At 48.2% G+C, this 23,890-nt stretch overlaps 1 protein-coding gene across 4 annotated transcripts in view, besides 1 other annotated feature; it reads left to right on the top strand.

Annotated features, from left to right (window-relative positions):
• The window catches only part of MUC16 (mucin 16, cell surface associated), a gene marked incomplete in the record, with an annotated part of 216,908 nt that overhangs the window by 97,310 nt on the left and 95,708 nt on the right, over nt 1-23,890 (top strand). For all 4 annotated transcript variants that reach the window (NM_001414686.1, NM_001401501.2, NM_001414687.1 and 1 more), the window contains 1 exon segment: nt 1,253-22,945. In NM_001414686.1, coding sequence (NP_001401615.1) covers nt 1,253-22,945 — 21,693 coding nt within the window.
• Nucleotides 7,434-8,633: an enhancer, noted in NCBI's record as "P300/CBP strongly-dependent group 1 enhancer chr19:9070485-9071684 (GRCh37/hg19 assembly coordinates)". NCBI's record gives its function as "activates an origin of replication core promoter dependent on BRD2, BRD4, P300/CBP, MED14 and CDK7 cofactors, with strong dependence on P300/CBP, by STARR-seq in HCT116 cells {active_cell/tissue: HCT116}" and the evidence as "EXISTENCE:reporter gene assay evidence [ECO:0000049][PMID:35650434]".

Here is a 23,890-nt window from a genome sequence, read left to right as displayed (position 1 = left end):
GTGGTGGCTTACGCCCGTAATCCCAGCACTTTGGGAGGCTAAGGTGGGCGGATCACGAGGTCAGGAGTTTGAGACCAGCCTGGCCAACATAGTGAAACCCTGTCTCTACTAAAAATACAAAAAATTAGCTGGGCATAGTGGCACACACCTGTAATCCCAGCTACTTGGGAGGCTGAGGAAGGAGAATCACTTGAACCTGGGAGGCGGAGGTTGCAGTGAGCCGAGATCACGCCATTGCTCTCCAGCCTGGGTGACAGAGCAAGACTCCATCTAAAAAAAAAAAAAGTTCCTTTGACTTCTTGACACTCTTCTCTGAGGATATTGATCATTTTTCCCCAATAGATGTTACTAATTGAACACTTCTGTTGCTTCAACTTACTAATTTACATGATCAATAGCCAATTAATTCAGCAGGAGAGAATGCTACAGAGTCGATTCTTTCTGTACTTTCTTCTGCTCCAGAGTGAAGGATCTTTCTAAATCAGAGACCATCACTGTGTTCACAGGGAGGGCCTAGGTGAACCTGAGATGGCAAATGTTGCGTTTGTTACTACGGAAGAAGGGATTATGGGCTGAAGTCCTTGGCAGTGCCAAATTGCTTAGAAAAATGTGAAATATGGTCCCTAGGAGTGCTCTTGGGATGTCACATTTTTCTCACTCCTTTGACAGGTAGATGTTATTTTCCTGAAGGACAGGGAAAGGATTCAGAGGGAGGAATGAATTTGAAAGAAAATGAAGGTGACGAGAAAGAATGAGCTCATCTCCCTTATCCTCTTTCTTCTCAAATCCTTAAGTAGCTTTGCAGTGAACTAAGATTTGGGGGAACCTAGAGGAGGCTGAAAGTTGGAAGCTGAAATTGGTTTGGCAAGGGCAAGCTCCAAAGACAAAAGTGGAAATAGTTTGGGGGTAGCCTCTTGCATGGGTGAAGTCCTGGTTCATCACATCCTCCCTTATGCAAAGAGCCCTTTTATATGGGGCATGGGGAAAAACTGAGCTAAAGGTGATAATTTCTCCTGAGCAAGCCAGATGGTCAAAGCTCTAACTTCACCATCTCCCTTGGAATGTTTAATGTGTTCCCTGGTGTCCAGAGGCTTAAAGTGTGAGAATTAAAAGCTCAACATTTTCTTTCCCAGAGAAGGAGGAAATAGTTTTAATTGAAATCCCGGGAGGAAATGAATGATAGTGTCAAACCAAAAAACTTCATCTTCTGTACCATTTGCATATACTCCACTGACTTACTTTCTAATCACAGGCACATCCCCAGGAAGCCCAGAAATGTCTACCACTCTCAAAATCATGAGCTCCAAGGAACCCAGCATCAGCCCAGAGATCAGGTCCACTGTGAGAAATTCTCCTTGGAAGACTCCAGAAACAACTGTTCCCATGGAGACCACAGTGGAACCAGTCACCCTTCAGTCCACAGCCCTAGGAAGTGGCAGCACCAGCATCTCTCACCTGCCCACAGGAACCACATCACCAACCAAGTCACCAACAGAAAATATGTTGGCTACAGAAAGGGTCTCCCTCTCCCCATCCCCACCTGAGGCTTGGACCAACCTTTATTCTGGAACTCCAGGAGGGACCAGGCAGTCACTGGCCACAATGTCCTCTGTCTCCCTAGAGTCACCAACTGCTAGAAGCATCACAGGGACTGGTCAGCAAAGCAGTCCAGAACTGGTTTCAAAGACAACTGGAATGGAATTCTCTATGTGGCATGGCTCTACTGGAGGGACCACAGGGGACACACATGTCTCTCTGAGCACATCTTCCAATATCCTTGAAGACCCTGTAACCAGCCCAAACTCTGTGAGCTCATTGACAGATAAATCCAAACATAAAACCGAGACATGGGTAAGCACCACAGCCATTCCCTCCACTGTCCTGAATAATAAGATAATGGCAGCTGAACAACAGACAAGTCGATCTGTGGATGAGGCTTATTCATCAACTAGTTCTTGGTCAGATCAGACATCTGGGAGTGACATCACCCTTGGTGCATCTCCTGATGTCACAAACACATTATACATCACCTCCACAGCACAAACCACCTCACTAGTGTCTCTGCCCTCTGGAGACCAAGGCATTACAAGCCTCACCAATCCCTCAGGAGGAAAAACAAGCTCTGCGTCATCTGTCACATCTCCTTCAATAGGGCTTGAGACTCTGAGGGCCAATGTAAGTGCAGTGAAAAGTGACATTGCCCCTACTGCTGGGCATCTATCTCAGACTTCATCTCCTGCGGAAGTGAGCATCCTGGACGTAACCACAGCTCCTACTCCAGGTATCTCCACCACCATCACCACCATGGGAACCAACTCAATCTCAACTACCACACCCAACCCAGAAGTGGGTATGAGTACCATGGACAGCACCCCGGCCACAGAGAGGCGCACAACTTCTACAGAACACCCTTCCACCTGGTCTTCCACAGCTGCATCAGATTCCTGGACTGTCACAGACATGACTTCAAACTTGAAAGTTGCAAGATCTCCTGGAACAATTTCCACAATGCATACAACTTCATTCTTAGCCTCAAGCACTGAATTAGACTCCATGTCTACTCCCCATGGCCGTATAACTGTCATTGGAACCAGCCTGGTCACTCCATCCTCTGATGCTTCAGCTGTAAAGACAGAGACCAGTACAAGTGAAAGAACATTGAGTCCTTCAGACACAACTGCATCTACTCCCATCTCAACTTTTTCTCGTGTCCAGAGGATGAGCATCTCAGTTCCTGACATTTTAAGTACAAGTTGGACTCCCAGTAGTACAGAAGCAGAAGATGTGCCTGTTTCAATGGTTTCTACAGATCATGCTAGTACAAAGACTGACCCAAATACGCCCCTGTCCACTTTTCTGTTTGATTCTCTGTCCACTCTTGACTGGGACACTGGGAGATCTCTGTCATCAGCCACAGCCACTACCTCAGCTCCTCAGGGGGCCACAACTCCCCAGGAACTCACTTTGGAAACCATGATCAGCCCAGCTACCTCACAGTTGCCCTTCTCTATAGGGCACATTACAAGTGCAGTCACACCAGCTGCAATGGCAAGGAGCTCTGGAGTTACTTTTTCAAGACCAGATCCCACAAGCAAAAAGGCAGAGCAGACTTCCACTCAGCTTCCCACCACCACTTCTGCACATCCAGGGCAGGTGCCCAGATCAGCAGCAACAACTCTGGATGTGATCCCACACACAGCAAAAACTCCAGATGCAACTTTTCAGAGACAAGGGCAGACAGCTCTTACAACAGAGGCAAGAGCTACATCTGACTCCTGGAATGAGAAAGAAAAATCAACCCCAAGTGCACCTTGGATCACTGAGATGATGAATTCTGTCTCAGAAGATACCATCAAGGAGGTTACCAGCTCCTCCAGTGTATTAAGGACCCTGAATACGCTGGACATAAACTTGGAATCTGGGACGACTTCATCCCCAAGTTGGAAAAGCAGCCCATATGAGAGAATTGCCCCTTCTGAGTCCACCACAGACAAAGAGGCAATTCACCCTTCTACAAACACAGTAGAGACCACAGGCTGGGTCACAAGTTCCGAACATGCTTCTCATTCCACTATCCCAGCCCACTCAGCGTCATCCAAACTCACATCTCCAGTGGTTACAACCTCCACCAGGGAACAAGCAATAGTTTCTATGTCAACAACCACATGGCCAGAGTCTACAAGGGCTAGAACAGAGCCTAATTCCTTCTTGACTATTGAACTGAGGGACGTCAGCCCTTACATGGACACCAGCTCAACCACACAAACAAGTATTATCTCTTCCCCAGGTTCCACTGCGATCACCAAGGGGCCTAGAACAGAAATTACCTCCTCTAAGAGAATATCCAGCTCATTCCTTGCCCAGTCTATGAGGTCGTCAGACAGCCCCTCAGAAGCCATCACCAGGCTGTCTAACTTTCCTGCCATGACAGAATCTGGAGGAATGATCCTTGCTATGCAAACAAGTCCACCTGGCGCTACATCACTAAGTGCACCTACTTTGGATACATCAGCCACAGCCTCCTGGACAGGGACTCCACTGGCTACGACTCAGAGATTTACATACTCAGAGAAGACCACTCTCTTTAGCAAAGGTCCTGAGGATACATCACAGCCAAGCCCTCCCTCTGTGGAAGAAACCAGCTCTTCCTCTTCCCTGGTACCTATCCATGCTACAACCTCGCCTTCCAATATTTTGTTGACATCACAAGGGCACAGTCCCTCCTCTACTCCACCTGTGACCTCAGTTTTCTTGTCTGAGACCTCTGGCCTGGGGAAGACCACAGACATGTCGAGGATAAGCTTGGAACCTGGCACAAGTTTACCTCCCAATTTGAGCAGTACAGCAGGTGAGGCGTTATCCACTTATGAAGCCTCCAGAGATACAAAGGCAATTCATCATTCTGCAGACACAGCAGTGACGAATATGGAGGCAACCAGTTCTGAATATTCTCCTATCCCAGGCCATACAAAGCCATCCAAAGCCACATCTCCATTGGTTACCTCCCACATCATGGGGGACATCACTTCTTCCACATCAGTATTTGGCTCCTCCGAGACCACAGAGATTGAGACAGTGTCCTCTGTGAACCAGGGACTTCAGGAGAGAAGCACATCCCAGGTGGCCAGCTCTGCTACAGAGACAAGCACTGTCATTACCCATGTGTCTAGTGGTGATGCTACTACTCATGTCACCAAGACACAAGCCACTTTCTCTAGCGGAACATCCATCTCAAGCCCTCATCAGTTTATAACTTCTACCAACACATTTACAGATGTGAGCACCAACCCCTCCACCTCTCTGATAATGACAGAATCTTCAGGAGTGACCATCACCACCCAAACAGGTCCTACTGGAGCTGCAACACAGGGTCCATATCTCTTGGACACATCAACCATGCCTTACTTGACAGAGACTCCATTAGCTGTGACTCCAGATTTTATGCAATCAGAGAAGACCACTCTCATAAGCAAAGGTCCCAAGGATGTGTCCTGGACAAGCCCTCCCTCTGTGGCAGAAACCAGCTATCCCTCTTCCCTGACACCTTTCTTGGTCACAACCATACCTCCTGCCACTTCCACGTTACAAGGGCAACATACATCCTCTCCTGTTTCTGCGACTTCAGTTCTTACCTCTGGACTGGTGAAGACCACAGATATGTTGAACACAAGCATGGAACCTGTGACCAATTCACCTCAAAATTTGAACAATCCATCAAATGAGATACTGGCCACTTTGGCAGCCACCACAGATATAGAGACTATTCATCCTTCCATAAACAAAGCAGTGACCAATATGGGGACTGCCAGTTCAGCACATGTACTGCATTCCACTCTCCCAGTCAGCTCAGAACCATCTACAGCCACATCTCCAATGGTTCCTGCCTCCAGCATGGGGGACGCTCTTGCTTCTATATCAATACCTGGTTCTGAGACCACAGACATTGAGGGAGAGCCAACATCCTCCCTGACTGCTGGACGAAAAGAGAACAGCACCCTCCAGGAGATGAACTCAACTACAGAGTCAAACATCATCCTCTCCAATGTGTCTGTGGGGGCTATTACTGAAGCCACAAAAATGGAAGTCCCCTCTTTTGATGCAACATTCATACCAACTCCTGCTCAGTCAACAAAGTTCCCAGATATTTTCTCAGTAGCCAGCAGTAGACTTTCAAACTCTCCTCCCATGACAATATCTACCCACATGACCACCACCCAGACAGGGTCTTCTGGAGCTACATCAAAGATTCCACTTGCCTTAGACACATCAACCTTGGAAACCTCAGCAGGGACTCCATCAGTGGTGACTGAGGGGTTTGCCCACTCAAAAATAACCACTGCAATGAACAATGATGTCAAGGACGTGTCACAGACAAACCCTCCCTTTCAGGATGAAGCCAGCTCTCCCTCTTCTCAAGCACCTGTCCTTGTCACAACCTTACCTTCTTCTGTTGCTTTCACACCGCAATGGCACAGTACCTCCTCTCCTGTTTCTATGTCCTCAGTTCTTACTTCTTCACTGGTAAAGACCGCAGGCAAGGTGGATACAAGCTTAGAAACAGTGACCAGTTCACCTCAAAGTATGAGCAACACTTTGGATGACATATCGGTCACTTCAGCAGCCACCACAGATATAGAGACAACGCATCCTTCCATAAACACAGTAGTTACCAATGTGGGGACCACCGGTTCAGCATTTGAATCACATTCTACTGTCTCAGCTTACCCAGAGCCATCTAAAGTCACATCTCCAAATGTTACCACCTCCACCATGGAAGACACCACAATTTCCAGATCAATACCTAAATCCTCTAAGACTACAAGAACTGAGACTGAGACAACTTCCTCCCTGACTCCTAAACTGAGGGAGACCAGCATCTCCCAGGAGATCACCTCGTCCACAGAGACAAGCACTGTTCCTTACAAAGAGCTCACTGGTGCCACTACCGAGGTATCCAGGACAGATGTCACTTCCTCTAGCAGTACATCCTTCCCTGGCCCTGATCAGTCCACAGTGTCACTAGACATCTCCACAGAAACCAACACCAGGCTGTCTACCTCCCCAATAATGACAGAATCTGCAGAAATAACCATCACCACCCAAACAGGTCCTCATGGGGCTACATCACAGGATACTTTTACCATGGACCCATCAAATACAACCCCCCAGGCAGGGATCCACTCAGCTATGACTCATGGATTTTCACAATTGGATGTGACCACTCTTATGAGCAGAATTCCACAGGATGTATCATGGACAAGTCCTCCCTCTGTGGATAAAACCAGCTCCCCCTCTTCCTTTCTGTCCTCACCTGCAATGACCACACCTTCCCTGATTTCTTCTACCTTACCAGAGGATAAGCTCTCCTCTCCTATGACTTCACTTCTCACCTCTGGCCTAGTGAAGATTACAGACATATTACGTACACGCTTGGAACCTGTGACCAGCTCACTTCCAAATTTCAGCAGCACCTCAGATAAGATACTGGCCACTTCTAAAGACAGTAAAGACACAAAGGAAATTTTTCCTTCTATAAACACAGAAGAGACCAATGTGAAAGCCAACAACTCTGGACATGAATCCCATTCCCCTGCACTGGCTGACTCAGAGACACCCAAAGCCACAACTCAAATGGTTATCACCACCACTGTGGGAGATCCAGCTCCTTCCACATCAATGCCAGTGCATGGTTCCTCTGAGACTACAAACATTAAGAGAGAGCCAACATATTTCTTGACTCCTAGACTGAGAGAGACCAGTACCTCTCAGGAGTCCAGCTTTCCCACGGACACAAGTTTTCTACTTTCCAAAGTCCCCACTGGTACTATTACTGAGGTCTCCAGTACAGGGGTCAACTCTTCTAGCAAAATTTCCACCCCAGACCATGATAAGTCCACAGTGCCACCTGACACCTTCACAGGAGAGATCCCCAGGGTCTTCACCTCCTCTATTAAGACAAAATCTGCAGAAATGACGATCACCACCCAAGCAAGTCCTCCTGAGTCTGCATCGCACAGTACCCTTCCCTTGGACACATCAACCACACTTTCCCAGGGAGGGACTCATTCAACTGTGACTCAGGGATTCCCATACTCAGAGGTGACCACTCTCATGGGCATGGGTCCTGGGAATGTGTCATGGATGACAACTCCCCCTGTGGAAGAAACCAGCTCTGTGTCTTCCCTGATGTCTTCACCTGCCATGACATCCCCTTCTCCTGTTTCCTCCACATCACCACAGAGCATCCCCTCCTCTCCTCTTCCTGTGACTGCACTTCCTACTTCTGTTCTGGTGACAACCACAGATGTGTTGGGCACAACAAGCCCAGAGTCTGTAACCAGTTCACCTCCAAATTTGAGCAGCATCACTCATGAGAGACCGGCCACTTACAAAGACACTGCACACACAGAAGCCGCCATGCATCATTCCACAAACACCGCAGTGACCAATGTAGGGACTTCCGGGTCTGGACATAAATCACAATCCTCTGTCCTAGCTGACTCAGAGACATCGAAAGCCACACCTCTGATGAGTACCACCTCCACCCTGGGGGACACAAGTGTTTCCACATCAACTCCTAATATCTCTCAGACTAACCAAATTCAAACAGAGCCAACAGCATCCCTGAGCCCTAGACTGAGGGAGAGCAGCACGTCTGAGAAGACCAGCTCAACAACAGAGACAAATACTGCCTTTTCTTATGTGCCCACAGGTGCTATTACTCAGGCCTCCAGAACAGAAATCTCCTCTAGCAGAACATCCATCTCAGACCTTGATCGGCCCACAATAGCACCCGACATCTCCACAGGAATGATCACCAGGCTCTTCACCTCCCCCATCATGACAAAATCTGCAGAAATGACCGTCACCACTCAAACAACTACTCCTGGGGCTACATCACAGGGTATCCTTCCCTGGGACACATCAACCACACTTTTCCAGGGAGGGACTCATTCAACCGTGTCTCAGGGATTCCCACACTCAGAGATAACCACTCTTCGGAGCAGAACCCCTGGAGATGTGTCATGGATGACAACTCCCCCTGTGGAAGAAACCAGCTCTGGGTTTTCCCTGATGTCACCTTCCATGACATCCCCTTCTCCTGTTTCCTCCACATCACCAGAGAGCATCCCCTCCTCTCCTCTCCCTGTGACTGCACTTCTTACTTCTGTTCTGGTGACAACCACAAATGTATTGGGCACAACAAGCCCAGAGCCCGTAACGAGTTCACCTCCAAATTTAAGCAGCCCCACACAGGAGAGACTGACCACTTACAAAGACACTGCGCACACAGAAGCCATGCATGCTTCCATGCATACAAACACTGCAGTGGCCAACGTGGGGACCTCCATTTCTGGACATGAATCACAATCTTCTGTCCCAGCTGATTCACACACATCCAAAGCCACATCTCCAATGGGTATCACCTTCGCCATGGGGGATACAAGTGTTTCTACATCAACTCCTGCCTTCTTTGAGACTAGAATTCAGACTGAATCAACATCCTCTTTGATTCCTGGATTAAGGGACACCAGGACGTCTGAGGAGATCAACACTGTGACAGAGACCAGCACTGTCCTTTCAGAAGTGCCCACTACTACTACTACTGAGGTCTCCAGGACAGAAGTTATCACTTCCAGCAGAACAACCATCTCAGGGCCTGATCATTCCAAAATGTCACCCTACATCTCCACAGAAACCATCACCAGGCTCTCCACTTTTCCTTTTGTAACAGGATCCACAGAAATGGCCATCACCAACCAAACAGGTCCTATAGGGACTATCTCACAGGCTACCCTTACCCTGGACACATCAAGCACAGCTTCCTGGGAAGGGACTCACTCACCTGTGACTCAGAGATTTCCACACTCAGAGGAGACCACTACTATGAGCAGAAGTACTAAGGGCGTGTCATGGCAAAGCCCTCCCTCTGTGGAAGAAACCAGTTCTCCTTCTTCCCCAGTGCCTTTACCTGCAATAACCTCACATTCATCTCTTTATTCCGCAGTATCAGGAAGTAGCCCCACTTCTGCTCTCCCTGTGACTTCCCTTCTCACCTCTGGCAGGAGGAAGACCATAGACATGTTGGACACACACTCAGAACTTGTGACCAGCTCCTTACCAAGTGCAAGTAGCTTCTCAGGTGAGATACTCACTTCTGAAGCCTCCACAAATACAGAGACAATTCACTTTTCAGAGAACACAGCAGAAACCAATATGGGGACCACCAATTCTATGCATAAACTACATTCCTCTGTCTCAATCCACTCCCAGCCATCCGGACACACACCTCCAAAGGTTACTGGATCTATGATGGAGGACGCTATTGTTTCCACATCAACACCTGGTTCTCCTGAGACTAAAAATGTTGACAGAGACTCAACATCCCCTCTGACTCCTGAACTGAAAGAGGACAGCACCGCCCTGGTGATGAACTCAACTACAGAGTCAAACACTGTTTTCTCCAGTGTGTCCCTGGATGCTGCTACTGAGGTCTCCAGGGCAGAAGTCACCTACTATGATCCTACATTCATGCCAGCTTCTGCTCAGTCAACAAAGTCCCCAGACATTTCACCTGAAGCCAGCAGCAGTCATTCTAACTCTCCTCCCTTGACAATATCTACACACAAGACCATCGCCACACAAACAGGTCCTTCTGGGGTGACATCTCTTGGCCAACTGACCCTGGACACATCAACCATAGCCACCTCAGCAGGAACTCCATCAGCCAGAACTCAGGATTTTGTAGATTCAGAAACAACCAGTGTCATGAACAATGATCTCAATGATGTGTTGAAGACAAGCCCTTTCTCTGCAGAAGAAGCCAACTCTCTCTCTTCTCAGGCACCTCTCCTTGTGACAACCTCACCTTCTCCTGTAACTTCCACATTGCAAGAGCACAGTACCTCCTCTCTTGTTTCTGTGACCTCAGTACCCACCCCTACACTGGCGAAGATCACAGACATGGACACAAACTTAGAACCTGTGACTCGTTCACCTCAAAATTTAAGGAACACCTTGGCCACTTCAGAAGCCACCACAGATACACACACAATGCATCCTTCTATAAACACAGCAGTGGCCAATGTGGGGACCACCAGTTCACCAAATGAATTCTATTTTACTGTCTCACCTGACTCAGACCCATATAAAGCCACATCCGCAGTAGTTATCACTTCCACCTCGGGGGACTCAATAGTTTCCACATCAATGCCTAGATCCTCTGCGATGAAAAAGATTGAGTCTGAGACAACTTTCTCCCTGATATTTAGACTGAGGGAGACTAGCACCTCCCAGAAAATTGGCTCATCCTCAGACACAAGCACGGTCTTTGACAAAGCATTCACTGCTGCTACTACTGAGGTCTCCAGAACAGAACTCACCTCCTCTAGCAGAACATCCATCCAAGGCACTGAAAAGCCCACAATGTCACCGGACACCTCCACAAGATCTGTCACCATGCTTTCTACTTTTGCTGGCCTGACAAAATCCGAAGAAAGGACCATTGCCACCCAAACAGGTCCTCATAGGGCGACATCACAGGGTACCCTTACCTGGGACACATCAATCACAACCTCACAGGCAGGGACCCACTCAGCTATGACTCATGGATTTTCACAATTAGATTTGTCCACTCTTACGAGTAGAGTTCCTGAGTACATATCAGGGACAAGCCCACCCTCTGTGGAAAAAACCAGCTCTTCCTCTTCCCTTCTGTCTTTACCAGCAATAACCTCACCGTCCCCTGTACCTACTACATTACCAGAAAGTAGGCCGTCTTCTCCTGTTCATCTGACTTCACTCCCCACCTCTGGCCTAGTGAAGACCACAGATATGCTGGCATCTGTGGCCAGTTTACCTCCAAACTTGGGCAGCACCTCACATAAGATACCGACTACTTCAGAAGACATTAAAGATACAGAGAAAATGTATCCTTCCACAAACATAGCAGTAACCAATGTGGGGACCACCACTTCTGAAAAGGAATCTTATTCGTCTGTCCCAGCCTACTCAGAACCACCCAAAGTCACCTCTCCAATGGTTACCTCTTTCAACATAAGGGACACCATTGTTTCCACATCCATGCCTGGCTCCTCTGAGATTACAAGGATTGAGATGGAGTCAACATTCTCCCTGGCTCATGGGCTGAAGGGAACCAGCACCTCCCAGGACCCCATCGTATCCACAGAGAAAAGTGCTGTCCTTCACAAGTTGACCACTGGTGCTACTGAGACCTCTAGGACAGAAGTTGCCTCTTCTAGAAGAACATCCATTCCAGGCCCTGATCATTCCACAGAGTCACCAGACATCTCCACTGAAGTGATCCCCAGCCTGCCTATCTCCCTTGGCATTACAGAATCTTCAAATATGACCATCATCACTCGAACAGGTCCTCCTCTTGGCTCTACATCACAGGGCACATTTACCTTGGACACACCAACTACATCCTCCAGGGCAGGAACACACTCGATGGCGACTCAGGAATTTCCACACTCAGAAATGACCACTGTCATGAACAAGGACCCTGAGATTCTATCATGGACAATCCCTCCTTCTATAGAGAAAACCAGCTTCTCCTCTTCCCTGATGCCTTCACCAGCCATGACTTCACCTCCTGTTTCCTCAACATTACCAAAGACCATTCACACCACTCCTTCTCCTATGACCTCACTGCTCACCCCTAGCCTAGTGATGACCACAGACACATTGGGCACAAGCCCAGAACCTACAACCAGTTCACCTCCAAATTTGAGCAGTACCTCACATGAGATACTGACAACAGATGAAGACACCACAGCTATAGAAGCCATGCATCCTTCCACAAGCACAGCAGCGACTAATGTGGAAACCACCAGTTCTGGACATGGGTCACAATCCTCTGTCCTAGCTGACTCAGAAAAAACCAAGGCCACAGCTCCAATGGATACCACCTCCACCATGGGGCATACAACTGTTTCCACATCAATGTCTGTTTCCTCTGAGACTACAAAAATTAAGAGAGAGTCAACATATTCCTTGACTCCTGGACTGAGAGAGACCAGCATTTCCCAAAATGCCAGCTTTTCCACTGACACAAGTATTGTTCTTTCAGAAGTCCCCACTGGTACTACTGCTGAGGTCTCCAGGACAGAAGTCACCTCCTCTGGTAGAACATCCATCCCTGGCCCTTCTCAGTCCACAGTTTTGCCAGAAATATCCACAAGAACAATGACAAGGCTCTTTGCCTCGCCCACCATGACAGAATCAGCAGAAATGACCATCCCCACTCAAACAGGTCCTTCTGGGTCTACCTCACAGGATACCCTTACCTTGGACACATCCACCACAAAGTCCCAGGCAAAGACTCATTCAACTTTGACTCAGAGATTTCCACACTCAGAGATGACCACTCTCATGAGCAGAGGTCCTGGAGATATGTCATGGCAAAGCTCTCCCTCTCTGGAAAATCCCAGCTCTCTCCCTTCCCTGCTGTCTTTACCTGCCACAACCTCACCTCCTCCCATTTCCTCCACATTACCAGTGACTATCTCCTCCTCTCCTCTTCCTGTGACTTCACTTCTCACCTCTAGCCCGGTAACGACCACAGACATGTTACACACAAGCCCAGAACTTGTAACCAGTTCACCTCCAAAGCTGAGCCACACTTCAGATGAGAGACTGACCACTGGCAAGGACACCACAAATACAGAAGCTGTGCATCCTTCCACAAACACAGCAGCGTCCAATGTGGAGATTCCCAGCTCTGGACATGAATCCCCTTCCTCTGCCTTAGCTGACTCAGAGACATCCAAAGCCACATCACCAATGTTTATTACCTCCACCCAGGAGGATACAACTGTTGCCATATCAACCCCTCACTTCTTGGAGACTAGCAGAATTCAGAAAGAGTCAATTTCCTCCCTGAGCCCTAAATTGAGGGAGACAGGCAGTTCTGTGGAGACAAGCTCAGCCATAGAGACAAGTGCTGTCCTTTCTGAAGTGTCCATTGGTGCTACTACTGAGATCTCCAGGACAGAAGTCACCTCCTCTAGCAGAACATCCATCTCTGGTTCTGCTGAGTCCACAATGTTGCCAGAAATATCCACCACAAGAAAAATCATTAAGTTCCCTACTTCCCCCATCCTGGCAGAATCATCAGAAATGACCATCAAGACCCAAACAAGTCCTCCTGGGTCTACATCAGAGAGTACCTTTACATTAGACACATCAACCACTCCCTCCTTGGTAATAACCCATTCGACTATGACTCAGAGATTGCCACACTCAGAGATAACCACTCTTGTGAGTAGAGGTGCTGGGGATGTGCCACGGCCCAGCTCTCTCCCTGTGGAAGAAACAAGCCCTCCATCTTCCCAGCTGTCTTTATCTGCCATGATCTCACCTTCTCCTGTTTCTTCCACATTACCAGCAAGTAGCCACTCCTCTTCTGCTTCTGTGACTTCACTTCTCACACCAGGCCAAGTGAAGACTACTGAGGTGTTGGACGCAAGTGCAGAACCTGAAACCAGTTCACCTCCAAGTTTGAGCAGCACCTCAGTTGAAATACTGGCCACCTCTGAAGTCACCACAGATACGGAGAAAATTCATCCTTTCTCAAACACGGCAGTAACCAAAGTTGGAACTTCCAGTTCTGGACATGAATCCCCTTCCTCTGTCCTACCTGACTCAGAGACAACCAAAGCCACATCGGCAATGGGTACCATCTCCATTATGGGGGATACAAGTGTTTCTACATTAACTCCTGCCTTATCTAACACTAGGAAAATTCAGTCAGAGCCAGCTTCCTCACTGACCACCAGATTGAGGGAGACCAGCACCTCTGAAGAGACCAGCTTAGCCACAGAAGCAAACACTGTTCTTTCTAAAGTGTCCACTGGTGCTACTACTGAGGTCTCCAGGACAGAAGCCATCTCCTTTAGCAGAACATCCATGTCAGGCCCTGAGCAGTCCACAATGTCACAAGACATCTCCATAGGAACCATCCCCAGGATTTCTGCCTCCTCTGTCCTGACAGAATCTGCAAAAATGACCATCACAACCCAAACAGGTCCTTCGGAGTCTACACTAGAAAGTACCCTTAATTTGAACACAGCAACCACACCCTCTTGGGTGGAAACCCACTCTATAGTAATTCAGGGATTTCCACACCCAGAGATGACCACTTCCATGGGCAGAGGTCCTGGAGGTGTGTCATGGCCTAGCCCTCCCTTTGTGAAAGAAACCAGCCCTCCATCCTCCCCGCTGTCTTTACCTGCCGTGACCTCACCTCATCCTGTTTCCACCACATTCCTAGCACATATCCCCCCCTCTCCCCTTCCTGTGACTTCACTTCTCACCTCTGGCCCGGCGACAACCACAGATATCTTGGGTACAAGCACAGAACCTGGAACCAGTTCATCTTCAAGTTTGAGCACCACCTCCCATGAGAGACTGACCACTTACAAAGACACTGCACATACAGAAGCCGTGCATCCTTCCACAAACACAGGAGGGACCAATGTGGCAACCACCAGCTCTGGATATAAATCACAGTCCTCTGTCCTAGCTGACTCATCTCCAATGTGTACCACCTCCACCATGGGGGATACAAGTGTTCTCACATCAACTCCTGCCTTCCTTGAGACTAGGAGGATTCAGACAGAGCTAGCTTCCTCCCTGACCCCTGGATTGAGGGAGTCCAGCGGCTCTGAAGGGACCAGCTCAGGCACCAAGATGAGCACTGTCCTCTCTAAAGTGCCCACTGGTGCTACTACTGAGATCTCCAAGGAAGACGTCACCTCCATCCCAGGTCCCGCTCAATCCACAATATCACCAGACATCTCCACAAGAACCGTCAGCTGGTTCTCTACATCCCCTGTCATGACAGAATCAGCAGAAATAACCATGAACACCCATACAAGTCCTTTAGGGGCCACAACACAAGGCACCAGTACTTTGGACACGTCAAGCACAACCTCTTTGACAATGACACACTCAACTATATCTCAAGGATTTTCACACTCACAGATGAGCACTCTTATGAGGAGGGGTCCTGAGGATGTATCATGGATGAGCCCTCCCCTTCTGGAAAAAACTAGACCTTCCTTTTCTCTGATGTCTTCACCAGCCACAACTTCACCTTCTCCTGTTTCCTCCACATTACCAGAGAGCATCTCTTCCTCTCCTCTTCCTGTGACTTCACTCCTCACGTCTGGCTTGGCAAAAACTACAGATATGTTGCACAAAAGCTCAGAACCTGTAACCAACTCACCTGCAAATTTGAGCAGCACCTCAGTTGAAATACTGGCCACCTCTGAAGTCACCACAGATACAGAGAAAACTCATCCTTCTTCAAACAGAACAGTGACCGATGTGGGGACCTCCAGTTCTGGACATGAATCCACTTCCTTTGTCCTAGCTGACTCACAGACATCCAAAGTCACATCTCCAATGGTTATTACCTCCACCATGGAGGATACGAGTGTCTCCACATCAACTCCTGGCTTTTTTGAGACTAGCAGAATTCAGACAGAACCAACATCCTCCCTGACCCTTGGACTGAGAAAGACCAGCAGCTCTGAGGGGACCAGCTTAGCCACAGAGATGAGCACTGTCCTTTCTGGAGTGCCCACTGGTGCCACTGCTGAAGTCTCCAGGACAGAAGTCACCTCCTCTAGCAGAACATCCATCTCAGGCTTTGCTCAGCTCACAGTGTCACCAGAGACTTCCACAGAAACCATCACCAGACTCCCTACCTCCAGCATAATGACAGAATCAGCAGAAATGATGATCAAGACACAAACAGATCCTCCTGGGTCTACACCAGAGAGTACTCATACTGTGGACATATCAACAACACCCAACTGGGTAGAAACCCACTCGACTGTGACTCAGAGATTTTCACACTCAGAGATGACCACTCTTGTGAGCAGAAGCCCTGGTGATATGTTATGGCCTAGTCAATCCTCTGTGGAAGAAACCAGCTCTGCCTCTTCCCTGCTGTCTCTGCCTGCCACGACCTCACCTTCTCCTGTTTCCTCTACATTAGTAGAGGATTTCCCTTCCGCTTCTCTTCCTGTGACTTCTCTTCTCAACCCTGGCCTGGTGATAACCACAGACAGGATGGGCATAAGCAGAGAACCTGGAACCAGTTCCACTTCAAATTTGAGCAGCACCTCCCATGAGAGACTGACCACTTTGGAAGACACTGTAGATACAGAAGACATGCAGCCTTCCACACACACAGCAGTGACCAACGTGAGGACCTCCATTTCTGGACATGAATCACAATCTTCTGTCCTATCTGACTCAGAGACACCCAAAGCCACATCTCCAATGGGTACCACCTACACCATGGGGGAAACGAGTGTTTCCATATCCACTTCTGACTTCTTTGAGACCAGCAGAATTCAGATAGAACCAACATCCTCCCTGACTTCTGGATTGAGGGAGACCAGCAGCTCTGAGAGGATCAGCTCAGCCACAGAGGGAAGCACTGTCCTTTCTGAAGTGCCCAGTGGTGCTACCACTGAGGTCTCCAGGACAGAAGTGATATCCTCTAGGGGAACATCCATGTCAGGGCCTGATCAGTTCACCATATCACCAGACATCTCTACTGAAGCGATCACCAGGCTTTCTACTTCCCCCATTATGACAGAATCAGCAGAAAGTGCCATCACTATTGAGACAGGTTCTCCTGGGGCTACATCAGAGGGTACCCTCACCTTGGACACCTCAACAACAACCTTTTGGTCAGGGACCCACTCAACTGCATCTCCAGGATTTTCACACTCAGAGATGACCACTCTTATGAGTAGAACTCCTGGAGATGTGCCATGGCCGAGCCTTCCCTCTGTGGAAGAAGCCAGCTCTGTCTCTTCCTCACTGTCTTCACCTGCCATGACCTCAACTTCTTTTTTCTCCACATTACCAGAGAGCATCTCCTCCTCTCCTCATCCTGTGACTGCACTTCTCACCCTTGGCCCAGTGAAGACCACAGACATGTTGCGCACAAGCTCAGAACCTGAAACCAGTTCACCTCCAAATTTGAGCAGCACCTCAGCTGAAATATTAGCCACGTCTGAAGTCACCAAAGATAGAGAGAAAATTCATCCCTCCTCAAACACACCTGTAGTCAATGTAGGGACTGTGATTTATAAACATCTATCCCCTTCCTCTGTTTTGGCTGACTTAGTGACAACAAAACCCACATCTCCAATGGCTACCACCTCCACTCTGGGGAATACAAGTGTTTCCACATCAACTCCTGCCTTCCCAGAAACTATGATGACACAGCCAACTTCCTCCCTGACTTCTGGATTAAGGGAGATCAGTACCTCTCAAGAGACCAGCTCAGCAACAGAGAGAAGTGCTTCTCTTTCTGGAATGCCCACTGGTGCTACTACTAAGGTCTCCAGAACAGAAGCCCTCTCCTTAGGCAGAACATCCACCCCAGGTCCTGCTCAATCCACAATATCACCAGAAATCTCCACGGAAACCATCACTAGAATTTCTACTCCCCTCACCACGACAGGATCAGCAGAAATGACCATCACCCCCAAAACAGGTCATTCTGGGGCATCCTCACAAGGTACCTTTACCTTGGACACATCAAGCAGAGCCTCCTGGCCAGGAACTCACTCAGCTGCAACTCACAGATCTCCACACTCAGGGATGACCACTCCTATGAGCAGAGGTCCTGAGGATGTGTCATGGCCAAGCCGCCCATCAGTGGAAAAAACTAGCCCTCCATCTTCCCTGGTGTCTTTATCTGCAGTAACCTCACCTTCGCCACTTTATTCCACACCATCTGAGAGTAGCCACTCATCTCCTCTCCGGGTGACTTCTCTTTTCACCCCTGTCATGATGAAGACCACAGACATGTTGGACACAAGCTTGGAACCTGTGACCACTTCACCTCCCAGTATGAATATCACCTCAGATGAGAGTCTGGCCACTTCTAAAGCCACCATGGAGACAGAGGCAATTCAGCTTTCAGAAAACACAGCTGTGACTCAGATGGGCACCATCAGCGCTAGACAAGAATTCTATTCCTCTTATCCAGGCCTCCCAGAGCCATCCAAAGTGACATCTCCAGTGGTCACCTCTTCCACCATAAAAGACATTGTTTCTACAACCATACCTGCTTCCTCTGAGATAACAAGAATTGAGATGGAGTCAACATCCACCCTGACCCCCACACCAAGGGAGACCAGCACCTCCCAGGAGATCCACTCAGCCACAAAGCCAAGCACTGTTCCTTACAAGGCACTCACTAGTGCCACGATTGAGGACTCCATGACACAAGTCATGTCCTCTAGCAGAGGACCTAGCCCTGATCAGTCCACAATGTCACAAGACATATCCACTGAAGTGATCACCAGGCTCTCTACCTCCCCCATCAAGACAGAATCTACAGAAATGACCATTACCACCCAAACAGGTTCTCCTGGGGCTACATCAAGGGGTACCCTTACCTTGGACACTTCAACAACTTTTATGTCAGGGACCCACTCAACTGCATCTCAAGGATTTTCACACTCACAGATGACCGCTCTTATGAGTAGAACTCCTGGAGATGTGCCATGGCTAAGCCATCCCTCTGTGGAAGAAGCCAGCTCTGCCTCTTTCTCACTGTCTTCACCTGTCATGACCTCATCTTCTCCCGTTTCTTCCACATTACCAGACAGCATCCACTCTTCTTCGCTTCCTGTGACATCACTTCTCACCTCAGGGCTGGTGAAGACCACAGAGCTGTTGGGCACAAGCTCAGAACCTGAAACCAGTTCACCCCCAAATTTGAGCAGCACCTCAGCTGAAATACTGGCCATCACTGAAGTCACTACAGATACAGAGAAACTGGAGATGACCAATGTGGTAACCTCAGGTTATACACATGAATCTCCTTCCTCTGTCCTAGCTGACTCAGTGACAACAAAGGCCACATCTTCAATGGGTATCACCTACCCCACAGGAGATACAAATGTTCTCACATCAACCCCTGCCTTCTCTGACACCAGTAGGATTCAAACAAAGTCAAAGCTCTCACTGACTCCTGGGTTGATGGAGACCAGCATCTCTGAAGAGACCAGCTCTGCCACAGAAAAAAGCACTGTCCTTTCTAGTGTGCCCACTGGTGCTACTACTGAGGTCTCCAGGACAGAAGCCATCTCTTCTAGCAGAACATCCATCCCAGGCCCTGCTCAATCCACAATGTCATCAGACACCTCCATGGAAACCATCACTAGAATTTCTACCCCCCTCACAAGGAAAGAATCAACAGACATGGCCATCACCCCCAAAACAGGTCCTTCTGGGGCTACCTCGCAGGGTACCTTTACCTTGGACTCATCAAGCACAGCCTCCTGGCCAGGAACTCACTCAGCTACAACTCAGAGATTTCCACAGTCAGTGGTGACAACTCCTATGAGCAGAGGTCCTGAGGATGTGTCATGGCCAAGCCCGCTGTCTGTGGAAAAAAACAGCCCTCCATCTTCCCTGGTATCTTCATCTTCAGTAACCTCACCTTCGCCACTTTATTCCACACCATCTGGGAGTAGCCACTCCTCTCCTGTCCCTGTCACTTCTCTTTTCACCTCTATCATGATGAAGGCCACAGACATGTTGGATGCAAGTTTGGAACCTGAGACCACTTCAGCTCCCAATATGAATATCACCTCAGATGAGAGTCTGGCCGCTTCTAAAGCCACCACGGAGACAGAGGCAATTCACGTTTTTGAAAATACAGCAGCGTCCCATGTGGAAACCACCAGTGCTACAGAGGAACTCTATTCCTCTTCCCCAGGCTTCTCAGAGCCAACAAAAGTGATATCTCCAGTGGTCACCTCTTCCTCTATAAGAGACAACATGGTTTCCACAACAATGCCTGGCTCCTCTGGCATTACAAGGATTGAGATAGAGTCAATGTCATCTCTGACCCCTGGACTGAGGGAGACCAGAACCTCCCAGGACATCACCTCATCCACAGAGACAAGCACTGTCCTTTACAAGATGCCCTCTGGTGCCACTCCTGAGGTCTCCAGGACAGAAGTTATGCCCTCTAGCAGAACATCCATTCCTGGCCCTGCTCAGTCCACAATGTCACTAGACATCTCCGATGAAGTTGTCACCAGGCTGTCTACCTCTCCCATCATGACAGAATCTGCAGAAATAACCATCACCACCCAAACAGGTTATTCTCTGGCTACATCCCAGGTTACCCTTCCCTTGGGCACCTCAATGACCTTTTTGTCAGGGACCCACTCAACTATGTCTCAAGGACTTTCACACTCAGAGATGACCAATCTTATGAGCAGGGGTCCTGAAAGTCTGTCATGGACGAGCCCTCGCTTTGTGGAAACAACTAGATCTTCCTCTTCTCTGACATCATTACCTCTCACGACCTCACTTTCTCCTGTGTCCTCCACATTACTAGACAGTAGCCCCTCCTCTCCTCTTCCTGTGACTTCACTTATCCTCCCAGGCCTGGTGAAGACTACAGAAGTGTTGGATACAAGCTCAGAGCCTAAAACCAGTTCATCTCCAAATTTGAGCAGCACCTCAGTTGAAATACCGGCCACCTCTGAAATCATGACAGATACAGAGAAAATTCATCCTTCCTCAAACACAGCGGTGGCCAAAGTGAGGACCTCCAGTTCTGTTCATGAATCTCATTCCTCTGTCCTAGCTGACTCAGAAACAACCATAACCATACCTTCAATGGGTATCACCTCCGCTGTGGACGATACCACTGTTTTCACATCAAATCCTGCCTTCTCTGAGACTAGGAGGATTCCGACAGAGCCAACATTCTCATTGACTCCTGGATTCAGGGAGACTAGCACCTCTGAAGAGACCACCTCAATCACAGAAACAAGTGCAGTCCTTTATGGAGTGCCCACTAGTGCTACTACTGAAGTCTCCATGACAGAAATCATGTCCTCTAATAGAATACACATCCCTGACTCTGATCAGTCCACGATGTCTCCAGACATCATCACTGAAGTGATCACCAGGCTCTCTTCCTCATCCATGATGTCAGAATCAACACAAATGACCATCACCACCCAAAAAAGTTCTCCTGGGGCTACAGCACAGAGTACTCTTACCTTGGCCACAACAACAGCCCCCTTGGCAAGGACCCACTCAACTGTTCCTCCTAGATTTTTACACTCAGAGATGACAACTCTTATGAGTAGGAGTCCTGAAAATCCATCATGGAAGAGCTCTCTCTTTGTGGAAAAAACTAGCTCTTCATCTTCTCTGTTGTCCTTACCTGTCACGACCTCACCTTCTGTTTCTTCCACATTACCGCAGAGTATCCCTTCCTCCTCTTTTTCTGTGACTTCACTCCTCACCCCAGGCATGGTGAAGACTACAGACACAAGCACAGAACCTGGAACCAGTTTATCTCCAAATCTGAGTGGCACCTCAGTTGAAATACTGGCTGCCTCTGAAGTCACCACAGATACAGAGAAAATTCATCCTTCTTCAAGCATGGCAGTGACCAATGTGGGAACCACCAGTTCTGGACATGAACTATATTCCTCTGTTTCAATCCACTCGGAGCCATCCAAGGCTACATACCCAGTGGGTACTCCCTCTTCCATGGCTGAAACCTCTATTTCCACATCAATGCCTGCTAATTTTGAGACCACAGGATTTGAGGCTGAGCCATTTTCTCATTTGACTTCTGGATTTAGGAAGACAAACATGTCCCTGGACACCAGCTCAGTCACACCAACAAATACACCTTCTTCTCCTGGGTCCACTCACCTTTTACAGAGTTCCAAGACTGATTTCACCTCTTCTGCAAAAACATCATCCCCAGACTGGCCTCCAGCCTCACAGTATACTGAAATTCCAGTGGACATAATCACCCCCTTTAATGCTTCTCCATCTATTACGGAGTCCACTGGGATAACCTCCTTCCCAGAATCCAGGTTTACTATGTCTGTAACAGAAAGTACTCATCATCTGAGTACAGATTTGCTGCCTTCAGCTGAGACTATTTCCACTGGCACAGTGATGCCTTCTCTATCAGAGGCCATGACTTCATTTGCCACCACTGGAGTTCCACGAGCCATCTCAGGTTCAGGTAGTCCATTCTCTAGGACAGAGTCAGGCCCTGGGGATGCTACTCTGTCCACCATTGCAGAGAGCCTGCCTTCATCCACTCCTGTGCCATTCTCCTCTTCAACCTTCACTACCACTGATTCTTCAACCATCCCAGCCCTCCATGAGATAACTTCCTCTTCAGCTACCCCATATAGAGTGGACACCAGTCTTGGGACAGAGAGCAGCACTACTGAAGGACGCTTGGTTATGGTCAGTACTTTGGACACTTCAAGCCAACCAGGCAGGACATCTTCATCACCCATTTTGGATACCAGAATGACAGAGAGCGTTGAGCTGGGAACAGTGACAAGTGCTTATCAAGTTCCTTCACTCTCAACACGGTTGACAAGTAAGGACCCACAGCCCCTACAATCCCATTATTGGGGGCTCATAGGAAATGACCCCTTCCTAAGAAGCAAAAAAAGAGTTAACTAGTTTATTCCTGTACCAGAAATTCTCTTAGCAAACATGTGTTTATCTAATTTCACTCCTAGGCACTGGGTTAAGGAATTGGAGAAACAAAAATAAGCAAATAATTGAATCATTACAGTATCGTGATAGGTGCTCTAATATTACTACTAGTAATGATGATGATGACAATAAGAATGACAACAGAAAATATTTATAACAGTACTTACTCTGTTTCAAGTGCAGTTTTATTAAGCTATTTGATCCTCAATTGTAACACTAATTGAAGTAGAGATTATTAGAAGCCTATTTTGGAGATGAAGACATTTAGGCACAGGGAGATTAAGTAACTTTCTTAAGTCCATATAGCTAGAAAGCAATAGAACTAGGATAAGAACTCAAATTGTGTGTCACTAGGAACTCATGCTCCTAACTGCTGGGCTAAACAGGAGTGGTCAGAGAGGTAACAGAAAAGGCAAGAAGTTCTGGCATCACAGAAGCCACAGGAGGGGAGGGTTTTAGGAAGGAGAAATGGTAAGTTCTGTTAAATACCACAGAATTGCCAAGTTGAAATGAGGTGAGAAGTGCTTTGGCAACATGGGGGTTCTCAGGGATTCTAATGAAGGGAGCATCAGTGAGGTATAGGGCATTAGAAGAACAGCTAAAATACTACGTAGACGTAAGGGAGGGTTTCTCCCTTTGAGTTGAGCAAGAGACAAAAGGGATAAGTGAAAGGAAAAAGTGAATTAATGAAAATAGAGGGAACAAAGTACCTAAGAAGGTAGAAGACACCCAGAGCCTAGAAGGAGGAAACACTACTTCCAAGAGGTCAGTAGATAAAGGAAGGAACTTCTTGGGGATTCCATTCCTCTGAAAGGGTTGAGCT

The sequence above is a fragment of the Homo sapiens genome, chromosome 19 (genome assembly GCF_000001405.40).
Source record: "Homo sapiens chromosome 19, GRCh38.p14 Primary Assembly".
Taxonomy (NCBI): domain Eukaryota; kingdom Metazoa; phylum Chordata; class Mammalia; order Primates; family Hominidae; genus Homo; species Homo sapiens.
Note: the sequence above shows the minus strand (reverse complement) of the source record. Positions and strands in the feature narration are given on the sequence as shown.